Source organism: Homo sapiens, chromosome X (assembly GCF_000001405.40).
Source record: "Homo sapiens chromosome X, GRCh38.p14 Primary Assembly".
Taxonomy (NCBI): Eukaryota; Metazoa; Chordata; class Mammalia; order Primates; family Hominidae; genus Homo; species Homo sapiens.
Window position 1 is genome coordinate 48,826,032 of NC_000023.11, and position 11,283 is coordinate 48,837,314.

At 55.3% G+C, this 11,283-nt stretch overlaps 2 protein-coding genes across 2 annotated transcripts, besides 2 other annotated features; one reads left to right on the forward strand and one right to left on the reverse strand.

Moving 5' to 3' along the window:
* Window positions 300–349: a silencer, noted in NCBI's record as "silent region_20823". NCBI's record gives its function as "represses an Ori minimal core promoter by ATAC-STARR-seq in GM12878 lymphoblastoid cells {active_cell/tissue: GM12878}" and the evidence as "EXISTENCE:reporter gene assay evidence [ECO:0000049][PMID:35858748]".
* Window positions 482–3,838, forward strand: ERAS (ES cell expressed Ras). The gene is made up of 2 exons (NM_181532.3): window positions 482–518; window positions 3,050–3,838. The coding sequence occupies exon 2, from the start codon at window positions 3,093–3,095 to the stop codon at window positions 3,792–3,794; it is 702 nt and encodes a 233-aa protein (NP_853510.1). The 5' UTR covers window positions 482–518; window positions 3,050–3,092; the 3' UTR covers window positions 3,795–3,838.
* Window positions 4,901–5,401: an enhancer, noted in NCBI's record as "H3K4me1 hESC enhancer chrX:48689342-48689842 (GRCh37/hg19 assembly coordinates)". NCBI's record gives its function as "activates a minimal SCP1, AML or CMV promoter by ChIP-STARR-seq in naive H9 embryonic stem cells {active_cell/tissue: H9 hESC(naive)}" and the evidence as "EXISTENCE:reporter gene assay evidence [ECO:0000049][PMID:30033119]".
* Window positions 5,065–9,579, reverse strand: PCSK1N (proprotein convertase subtilisin/kexin type 1 inhibitor). The gene is made up of 3 exons (NM_013271.5): window positions 9,388–9,579; window positions 5,838–6,310; window positions 5,065–5,424 (listed from the first exon to the last, which is right to left on the reverse strand). Exons 1-3 carry the CDS (start codon window positions 9,499–9,501, stop codon window positions 5,229–5,231), a joined length of 783 nt encoding a protein of 260 aa, NP_037403.1. The 5' UTR covers window positions 9,502–9,579; the 3' UTR covers window positions 5,065–5,228.
* Between the last annotated feature and the right edge of the window lie 1,704 nt (window positions 9,580–11,283).

The window sequence follows — 11,283 nt, forward strand, 5'->3', positions numbered from 1 at the left end:
GTCTTTCTTCCCTGACAGAATGACCCCTCCTCTGTCACTGTCTTTTCTCCAGAGCTACCAAAAAACCGAGTTGAGGCAGCACAGGCTCTGTGGCCTGAAAGAGCTTCCCACAAAACCGTTCCCAAAGTCAGGCCATCCTGGTCAAAATCTAACACCCAACTCTCCCACACACACACACCACCAACAGGAAAGCAAGGGAGAGGCGCCACAGGGGACACACGGGGAGGTTTGGCCGCCGTCCGTGCACCCCTAGAGGCCGCTGTGGCACCCACGTGCCTGTGCGCAAGCCGCCTGGGGGGGCACGACCCCTTGCTCCCCCGGGGCAATGGCACGGGCAGGGGCGGGGCAGTGGCAGGGGCAGGGGCGCGGCGCAGGGGGGTGGGCGGCCTGAGGAGCCGAGGGAGGGCGGCTGCGCATGTCCACTCCCCCAACCGCCGCCGGGGTGCCCCGGGGAGCAGCGTCGCCCCCCGCCAGGCCTGTCAGAGCGTCCCAGCGCGCCCGCCTCCCCACGGACACAGGTGAGCGAGGCGCCGGTGCCCCTGGCCCTGCCAGGCCTGGGGGTATCCCCGCGCCGGCTTTGGGGGATCGTCCCCCAAGCGCCAAGCCTTCTCCCGGGCGAGCGGCCCCTCACTCGGCCGGCCGGGAGGGGTGTCGGCGCTTGGCTGGAAGCGGGGCCGCCTCACCCGGAGTCGGGATGGGTCTTGACAGGATGCCCGGGCGACGCTGCTCACACCGAGCCCGAAGTGGAGTCCTGGTTTCGGGGACCCTTCCGCACTCCGAGCTTTGCACCTCACCCGGCCTCGTCCGGGAAAGCACGACCTGGCGAGGCCGCCCTAACCCCAGGTCCCGGCCCCTTAGCGCGCCAGCCTTGGTGAGCTGGGCGAAGCCCCCCAACCTGGTCCCAGCGGCTCTGAGCGCGCGGCCACGGGGACCCGCCGGGGGCTCCGCGCCACTTGAGAGGACCGAGCCCCCAATCTCCGGCGCCTCCCGCGGGCTGAGGCCCCGGGCCAGTGCCCTCGGCACGTGCCTCTGCGCCTCGGGCTCCTCCCGGGAGCGGAGCCTTGGGGACCAGGGCCGCGGCCTCCCTGCGCGTCGCGGGGACTGGGCGAGTGTGGCCCCGTCCCGCCAGGCACCTGGGGTGGAAGCTGCGCTCCGCCACTCGGCCAGGCCCCGGGCTTTTCCTTCCTCACCGTCGGCGCCCCCAGACTCCAGCCGCTCAGACCCCGACTTAAGAGGCAGCCTCGACCCCGCCTCTGCCTTCTGACCCATCCCTAAAGATGGCCGGGCACCCCTACAGGACCCCCAGAAGCCGACCTCTCCCTCCACGTGCGCCGCCGCCTCGCCCCTCCCCGCAGTCCTCCAGGTCTTCTTCCTGTCCCCAACCGTCGGGGACCCCCAAGCTCCGTCCTCCGCTTCCTGCTCTCTTTATCCCGCCCCCGCTCCTTCTGGGCCAACGCCGCCAGTGACTATTCCCAGGGATCCCTCAGAGCTGAGGACGCCGCGGCCGCATCCCCATTTGGGACCTTGCCCCGACTCCGACCTCCGGATCTCCAGCTCCACCAAACCTCGAAGCCACCATCCGCCCCCAAACTGCCGCTGCGCCAGGCTTTCGGAGGGGAGTCGTGGCAACAGCCATTAGGATGCACTAAGCAGGGCACTTCCTGAGCCCAAGGACACCGAGGGGCATTCACTGAGTGAATGGGGATGTGCTGCTAATAACTAACACTAATTGACCACCTGCCGTGTGCCCATCCTCTTCGAACATGCAACTTCCTTGTTCCTTATCTTGTTACTGTCTCTTTCTCTCTGCCAGAATCCAATCCTCACAAGGGCAGGGACTGGGGTCTGTTTTGTTAACTGCCATATCACAATGCCTGGCACGAAGGAAGATTCTTGAATTAATGAATGGAGATTAAATTATAATTTAAAAGCCTGGCATGAACTGAGCACCTTCTGCATGCTTATCACCCGCTACTGACATATAGTTCACTTTTTTTTTTTTTTTTTTTTTGAGACGGAGTTTTGCTCTTATCTCCCAGGCTGGAGTGCAAGTGGTGTGATCTCAGCTCACTGCAACCTCCGCCTCCCGGGTTCAAGCGATTCTTCTGCCTCAGCCTCCCGAGTAGCTGGGATTACAGGCGTCCACCACCACTCCTGGCTAATTTTTTTGTGTTTTTATTAGAGACAGGGTTTCGCAATGTTGGGCAGGCTGGTCTCGAACTCCTGACCTCAGGTGATCCACCCGACTCGGCCTCCAAAGTGCTGGGATTACAGGCGTGAGCCATTGTGCCCCGCCCCCTTTTTAACCTAGTTTGTTGTCTCTCACCCCGACCAGAATATAACCTTCATGAGGGCTACAGTTTGTTGTCTATTTATTGCCCAACTCCATGTCCTTGCCACACAGTAGGTTCCCAATAAATGTATGTTGAATAATTAATAAAGACTACATTCTAATGATAATGGCTAACAGACCACGTGATTTACATATTTATTTGGTTTATTATATTATCTGCCTCTGCCTTTTAGAACATAAACCTTCTGGGGGTGGGAATGTTGGGTCCCTACTGTCTGGCAGGCACTGTGCTGGGCTAGGGTTCAATGGTGACCAAAACCGGCAAAATCCTGCCCTCCCTCTGTCATGGGGAGGAACTGCTAATGGGCATGGGGATTCTTTTCTGGGTGAGGAAAATGTTCTAAAATTTACTTATGGTGATAGTTGCACAACTTCGTGAATATGCTAAAACCCGTTAAATTGGACACTAGCTGGCTGAACTTGATGGGATGTAAATTACATCTCAATAAAGCTGTTTGGGAAATCCAGCCTTCACAGTTGTTGATTCGCGTGAGGAGGGAAGGAGAGATGGGGGGACGTGGGACAGGGAGAAAACAACATAAATCATATATATATAGCATGCAAATTGGAAGGTGATCAGCACACAATAGGCATTCAATAAATGTTGAAATAATGACACCCCACTGTCTCCTTGCCCTCAAATGGTCTCCCCTAACGTATCCCCTGTTGTCTTGCTTCTTCTCTTCCCACTTGCAGAGCCTGCTGCCCACGTCTCTTCCCTGAGCTGCCTGCTGGGGTCATGGAGCTGCCAACAAAGCCTGGCACCTTCGACCTGGGCCTGGCCACATGGAGCCCTTCCTTCCAGGGGGAAACCCACCGGGCTCAGGCACGCCGCAGGGATGTTGGCAGGCAGCTGCCTGAGTACAAGGCTGTGGTGGTGGGCGCCAGTGGCGTGGGCAAGAGTGCGCTGACCATCCAGCTGAACCACCAGTGCTTCGTGGAGGACCACGACCCCACCATCCAGGATTCCTACTGGAAGGAGTTGACCCTGGACAGTGGGGACTGCATTCTGAATGTGCTGGACACAGCAGGGCAGGCCATCCATAGGGCCCTGCGTGACCAGTGCCTGGCTGTCTGTGATGGTGTGCTGGGCGTCTTCGCTCTCGATGACCCCTCGTCTCTGATCCAGCTGCAGCAGATATGGGCCACCTGGGGCCCTCACCCCGCCCAGCCCCTTGTCCTCGTGGGCAACAAGTGTGACCTTGTGACCACTGCTGGAGATGCTCATGCCGCTGCTGCAGCCCTCGCACACAGCTGGGGGGCCCACTTCGTGGAGACCTCGGCCAAAACACGGCAAGGCGTGGAGGAGGCCTTTTCCCTGCTGGTCCATGAGATCCAGAGGGTCCAGGAGGCCATGGCGAAGGAGCCCATGGCAAGGTCCTGTAGGGAGAAGACCCGGCACCAGAAGGCCACCTGCCACTGTGGCTGCTCTGTGGCCTGAAGGTCTTGGCCAAGAAATGTAGACCTTTCCCCAGGCCAGGGTGATTGTTCATTTGACATGAGACCCCTGAGGCAACTAGCTTTGAGGGACACATCAGGTATACTAGGGAAAGATGGACATCTCTCTTGTTTTCACTTGGTGAGGGGCTTTTTGGTAACATGGGAGTGCCTAATGTTGCTTTTGTTATGTCAAGTTGAAAGATTTTGTGCAAAATTAAATAAATGGTGTTTTGGGTTTCAAAGCTGCCTCCATGCCGAGTGTTGTGTGGGTGGGAGTGAGACTGGGTAGAATGTTACTTGAGTTGTGAGAATTCTTTCATTCAAGAAATTCAGGGGGAGCCCACTGTGTGCTAGGCTCCGCTTTATATATAAGGGAGGTAGAGGCAAACAAGACACTTAAAAATCCTTGCCCTTATAGATATGGCATCAGGCTAGATAGTGATAAAGGCTACGTGTTAAAGGCAGGTGAAGGAATAGGGTGACAGGTCCAGGAAAGCCTTCTTGAGAGTAGGTGACATCTGGACAAAAACCTGAAGATATCCAGAGGCAGAGGGACTAGCCAGTGCAAAGACCATGGCCACAAATCAGCTGCCACCACAGCAACCCTCAGTATATCCAGGGCCTGGAGCAAGAGTACAGGTAGGCCTCTACACTACATAACTAAATATGTAAACGTTCAGACATTACGAATCAAGCTTTACAAAGTAAATGAAATACACCCTATCCTACTTTGGCAAATACACTTTATTAGTGACCTGGATACCCAGGCTCCAATTTCTCAGCCTTCTCAGAGTTCCCTGCCAGAATGTGCCTGTCTGCCAAAGAGTGTGCCTGTACTGGGGCCTCCCGACCCTCAGTGCCCTCTCCCTTTCTCTCCGCTCTCTCCTTTTCTCTTCCCCACATCAGGAGGTGTTCATGTGTGCCTGCGACATCCCAGCCAGCACCTCAAGCTCTACTCACGTGCCCCACAAAGCCACCCCTTGGCCCTCAGGAGGATGGTCCCTTGGAAGATGATGGTGCAGGCCCTGAAAGTGGCCTCAAAGCCTGGGATCCCCATACCCAAGTGAGGCCTAAAAGGGGGACACAAGATCCGCGATTGTCCATGTGGATGTCTTCCCCTCCACCCCTAGGAGAGACATAGACTGAGCAGGTGATTGCTCTAAAGTGCAGGACCCAGGGTAGAGTCTCCTCTCTCCTGGTCTAAGGGCAACCACCACCGCGGGGAACCACCAGCCCCTAGAAACTGCCACTCACACAGACAAGCACAGAGCTGCTTCAGATCATGTTTATTGTGGGGCCAGGGGGTAGGGATCCTCGGGTGAGAGGGCTGGCTGGCCGGGGTAAGTTGCTCTGGACGTGCTGGCGGGGAGCAGTCCTGGTGGCGGGATGGCGGGGGCACTTCTGGGTCCCAGGGTGCACGGGATCCGGGCAGTGCTCAGGGTGGCAAGAGGCGGCGTGCAGGCACCTGGGGCGCCGGGGTCTCTAGGCGTTTCACACGCAGCAGCGCCCCCAGCACGCCCTCAGGGGGCAGCTCAGAGCCCACATCGTGGTCGGCGGCACGGCGGAGGCGGCGCGGGGCTGCCACCCCCTCGGAGTCCGCGCTTCCCGCAAGAATCCGTCCCAGCAAGTACCTGCAGGGCCGAGCGCAAAGCAGTGAGGCGGTGTCCGCGGTGGGGCGTTCCCCCGCCCCACGCTCGGGGCCCAGAACGCAGGATCCACAACCACATACTGCCTGGGGACACGGTTCCCTCCCCAAGAAGGCGTCCTCAGCCCACTGCTTTCAGTAGACAGCCGTCATCGCCTTTCATCCCAGAAAACTGTGGCTTCCCCGCCTCCCTCTCCCCTTCCCAGGACCTGGGGTCCACTTCCCCCACTGAGTCAGCCAGGCATCCTTGCCTGGACTCCCTGGATCCAGGACCTCACTCCCTCTTAGGCCCCAGGACTTAGGGGTTCGCACTCCACGGGGTAAGCAGGCTTCCCAGTTCCTCGCCCTCGTCCTCTCCGGACGCAGGCGCCCGACCCCTCCCCACCCCCTGCCGGGCACCTCAACAGCTCGGGGTCCACGTCGGGTGTCTCGTCGCCTGCCTCCTCAGCATCCGGGCCCGCGGGGCCGTCGTCGTAGACCGGGGGCCGGGGTCGGAGCGCCGCGGCGGGGACGGGCGCGGGGACAAGCTGGGCTGCTAGGGCGGCAGGGTCAAGGCGGGCGCGGAGCAGAGCGCGAGCGAGCTGCGCTGCAGGCGCGTCGGGGTCGTCGTCCAGGCCCAGAGCCGGATCAGAGTTGCGGGGGGCGCCCCAGACGCGCAGCAGCTGCGCCAGGACGCGCGCCTGCTGATCCTCAGCCTCCTGCGCCTCGGCCCGCGCCCGCTCCTGACGTTCGGCCTCCAGCAGATGCGCCAGCGCCCGCGCCAGCTCCTGCACCGCCCCCGCCGCCTCACCTCGGGGCACTGACCGCCGGAAGCGGCGAGGAGCGCCAGTCTCAGCCAAGGGCGGAGACGCTGCGCTTAGGCCGCGGGGCTCCTGCGGGAAAATGAGGTGGGGGAAAAGAGTTTGTCAGCGTCCGTCGAGACAGGGACCCCCAGCCCGGGAAGCTTCGTAGGCCTCAAACATCCCAGATGCCACCAAAAGCACCGTGACCATCCAAATATACCCGGACACCCCTAAGGCCACTGGAAACCACCAAATATCTCCAGACGCACTTAAGACCACCAAAGATCCCCAGACACCCCCCACCCCCACCCCACAGCGCGCCAGTGATCCCTTGGTGACTCTCATAATTCCTCCCTCCCCACCCCCACTCCTGGAGACCGAGTTTCTTCATAAGAGTAGTGATGGTAGATATGACAGTTATAGATTTTTCCATATTTAATATTGTGGACAATAGGAACTATATGAATAAACTTGTTCATATATCATTTGGCATGTGTACAAGTTCATCTGTAGAATAAATTACCCAATGACAAATTTTCAGTTCAAGCAGTTTTCAAACAATTTCCACAAGTTTAAAGAAATAAAAGAGGGTACCAATAATCTGAGCAAGGAATAAAAGATCATAAAAATGACTGTGAAGGTTTGGAAAAGAAACATACAGGCCACATATAAATATGTTTAAAAGGAGTGATGCCTGCAACACAAATAGTCAATGAAAGAGTAGTACACAGAAGATACAGAGAATTCCTAAAAAGTAGTAAGAGAAAAACAAACTCATACAGAAATAGAAAAAATACATGATCGCCTATTTCACAAAAATGATTACTAAACATATGAAAAATTGGGCCACGTGTAGTGGTTCATGCCTGTAATCCCAGCACTTTGGGAGGCCAAGGCAGGAAGATCGCTTGAGGCCAGGAGTTTGAGACCAGCCTGGTCAAAATGGCGAGACCCTGTCTCTACAAAAAATAAAACCAAAAAAAATGAGCGGGGCACAAGCCCATAGTCCCAGCTACTTGGGAAGATGAGGTGGGAGGATCACCTGAGTCCAGAAGCTCAAGGTTGCAGTGAGCCCAGATCGCACCACTGCACTCCAGCGTGCATGACAGAGGAAGACCCTGTCTCTAACAAACATAAAATAAAATTAAAAACCTCATTAGTAATCAGGGGAAAGCAAATTAAAATGCCAGGGAGATACTATGCATAATATAACCAAAAGATTGACCCAAATCAAAAAGTCTGATAATATGAAGTGTTGATATGAATGCAGAAAAATGGGAACTCTCATACTATGCTGGTGAGAATTAAACTGGCAAAGTAATTTTGCAGAGCGGTTTGACAATATCTAAAAAGATGCACATATCCTATGACCCACTCCTGGGATGTCACTCCCCAGAGCAGCTTTGGCACATACGCTACTGGTCACAAGTTCGTGAAAGATGACAGCAGCACTGTTCGTAATAGCATAAAAGGGCGGGGGAGAAAGAAAAGCCTGGAAACAGTCCAATGTCCACTGACAAATTGAGAATACATATATAAATCATGATGTCCTCATAGGATGTAATATTATGCAGCAATAAAAATAAATGAATTACAGCCACATGCATCAACTTGGATGAATCTCGTGACCAGAATAGAGCCAAGGGAAAAAAAAACGTCAAGTTCCAGAATTTCACTGCAGACTGCCTGAGACTACTAGACACCCTGAGGACTTCCTAGTGACCCCTAGTGACTACGAGGAACCAGTCACCCAGTATGATTCCGTTTCAATGATGTTCAAAAGCAGGAAAAACTAAACAATGGATTTTTTTTGAGAGCTACACATATGTGATAAGCTACAAACAAAAGTAAGGGATCAATGGACAGAAAATACAGAATAAGGACTGTGTGGGGACAGGGGCTGCCATGGCGAGGGGCACGCAGGGGCTTCTAACTCTTGGTCAGGCTCTATTTATTAAGCTGAGTGACTGCTACACGAGAGAGTTATTTTGTCATCATTCTTTACATTGTACATATATATTAAACACATTGTTACACGGATATAAGGTAACAGTTTTTTTTAATTCCCATCTTTGATGCAGACAGTATTGAAGAGCTAGAGGAGGATGCCTCTCCAAGTGCCCTTGCTGGCGCCCACCACTCCTCAGTCACCCCGGGGTATCACACTCACCAGCAATCACAGCCTCACACACACTCATGAGGACTGACAGGCCTGGAGATGTCACATATACAGCCCAACACTGCCACAGCCACATGCAAGGACCTGCACACGTTCACATCCGCAGCTGCTCCTGCAGTTACAATCGCCAAGCCACCCAGGTGCAAGGACATGCACCATCCTTAAAGACACAATGCAGCAGAGAGACATCATGGCTCCTCTCCTCAGGATGACACAGCTCCACAAAGAAACGGAGAGAAACAGTCTCAGGAACACGCAAACGAAATCCCAGGCACTTGGTCCAACAGAACCACTATGGAATGTGCACACGGAGATGCGAAGACCATTCCCTCTCAAACACAAACGAAATCACACACACACACACACACACACACACACACACACACACACAGAGAGAGAGAGACAGAGAGAGAGAGAGAGAGACACGCCCATAGGCCAAGCCAACACACATAATAAGGATTCACAAATATCCACACGGTGTCACTGAGAAAACAATCGGACGCACAAAAGAATCGCGCACAGAAGTATCCCGGTATCACACACACTACACACCCAGACGCACCACGGCACCTTTCTAGGACACTTGGAAGCGCTCAAACCAAAGAACACACACTTTCAAGGACACGACACCTCCACACCGCTCTCCTCACATCACACGCACACACACTGATGCGCGCGCGCCCTTTCTTAAAGCGCCTTAGTGCCGTGGACAGCGTCACAGGCACCGGGCACGGAGAGGTGGGCAGGGCACGGTTACCGGCGGCGCCCCGGACAACGCCACCCGCACAGGCAGAGACCAAGTCAGGTCTCAGGTGTGCCGGCGTGGCCTGGGCGCGGACCGGCGGCCGGAGCCCGGGCCACCCTCGTCGATCTCTCCGCACGTCCCGGGAGCCGGCTCGGGCGGGGGTGAGGCGGCGCAGCCCCAACCCCAACCCTCGCCGGTGGCATCCTCCCCCAACCCCCACCCCTCGCCGGACTGGGGTCGCACCTTTACCGGCCGCGCGCAGAGCGCGGGGGGCGGCCGAAACAGGCCGAGCAGCAGCAGCACCAAAAGGCCGACGCCCCCGGCCCGCGGCCCCCAGAGCAGCGGCGACCCCGCCATGCTGCCCCAGCGAGCCGGGCTCCGGACGGGCGGACTGGCTGGCAAGTGCGCAGTGCCGGGGCGAGCTGGCGAGGCTGCGGCGCTCTGCGGCTGCGCACGCCCGGAACCAGGCCCCCCCCCCCCCGCCCCCACCCCACCCACCCGACCGACGCAGGCGCAGCCTGGGGAGCTGGCAGCCCCACCAGACCTCCCGTCGCCATGGAGATGCCCAAAGGGCAAGGTGGAGAGCTGGCGGTTGCCATGGCAGTCGGAGGGCAGTTGCTGGGGCAACCGACCTTACTGTTACCTTAGTAGACAGGAAAACAGGCAAGAAAAATTGACTCAGTGGAGTGGAATGGGGGTCTGGTCCTCATCTCTCTTCCTGGGGGAGGAGATGGACTTTAGTTTGTTCATTAGATAAATAGTTAATGGATCACCCGCAGTGGGCCCGGCCCGCGCCAGGGAGATGGGTTCAATCTAGGTGATGTGACCATGGACAGCTCAGTTGGCCATTCTAAGGCTCAGGCTCTCAGCGGCGTAAAGGGGTTACTACTGACAGCCTCCCTCAAAGTGACCTTGGAGGTTTAGAATGACATTCAGTAGGAGCTCCATAAATGCTCCTTTCCATCCTCTCCTTGTCTCTTTGTGTTTTTTTTTTTCTGACAGTGTCTCGCTGTGTCCTCCAGGCTGGAGGACAGTGGCCGGATCTCAGCTCACTGCAATCTCCACCTCCAGGGTTCAACCAATTCTCATGCCTCAGCCTGCCAAGTAGCTGGGACTACAGGTGCCCACCACCACGCCTGGCTAATTTTTGTATTTTTGTAGAGATGGGGTTTCGTCATGTTGCCAGGTTGGTCTCCAACTTCTGAGCTCAAGCAATCGGCCCTCCTCGGCCTCCCAAAGTGCTGGGATTACAGGCGTTGAGCCACCATGCCTGGCCCCAGCCCAATACTTTCATCTCTCCATGGCTCTCTGTGTTTATCTTTCTGCCCTTATGTGCCCACAGCTCTCTCTGTGTCTTCCTCTCCCCATATGTCTCTCCTTGTCTATGACTTTCTCTCCTTTCATCTCTCCAACCGCTGTCTTGTCTCTGTCTTTATTTTACTGTCTATATCTACTTGTTTTCCATAGATAGATATATACATAGATACATATATGCATAGACTTTACCCATATATTGTTCCAGAAATAAGTTCAAGCCACTAAAATGACATATCAAAGGAAACAAGATCTTGAAAAAATGTATGTGTATCCATAGGGGGAAAAATGTTGGGGAGGAAATGTCATCAATGGTTATCTCTGGGGAGGTAACTAATGGTTTGTTACTTTCTCCTTTATACTTTTCTGTTGTCTGAAAAAAAAAAATTACAATAGGCCAGGCGCGGTGGCTCATGCTCGTAATCCCAGCACTTTGGGAGGCCGAAGTGGGTGTATCACCTGAGGTCAGGAGTTTGAGACCAGCCTGGCCAACATGGTGAAACCCCATCTCTACTGAAAATACAAAAATTAGCCAGGCATGGTGACACGCGCCTGTAATCTCAGCTACTCAGGAGGCTGAGGAGGAGGAGAACTGCTTGAACCTGAGAGGCAGAGGTTGCAGTGAGCTGAGATGGTGCCACTGCATTCCAGCCTGGGCGACAGAGCAAGACTCCGTCTCAAAAACAAAAAAAGATCATCTGAATAAATGAAGACACAATACATGTTCCTGGATGAGGCAATTTCATTTTATAAAGATGTCAAGTCTATCCAAACTAATATATAATTTCTATGTAATTTCAATTTAAACCCCAGCTGAATATTTTA

Coding starts and splice junctions, on each gene's coding strand:
- ERAS (NM_181532.3), top strand. CDS start 3,093: ATGGAGCTGCCAACAAAGCCTGGCACCTTCGACCTGGGCCTGGCCACA.
- PCSK1N (NM_013271.5), bottom strand. CDS start 9,501: ATGGCGGGGTCGCCGCTGCTCTGGGGGCCGCGGGCCGGGGGCGTCGGC. Junction 6,311..9,387: donor TCTGCGCGCGGCCGGTAAAG/GTGCGACCCCAG, acceptor ATTTTCCCGCAG/GAGCCCCGCGGCCTAAGCGC. Junction 5,425..5,837: donor GTGGACCCCGAGCTGTTGAG/GTGCCCGGCAGG, acceptor TCGGCCCTGCAG/GTACTTGCTGGGACGGATTC.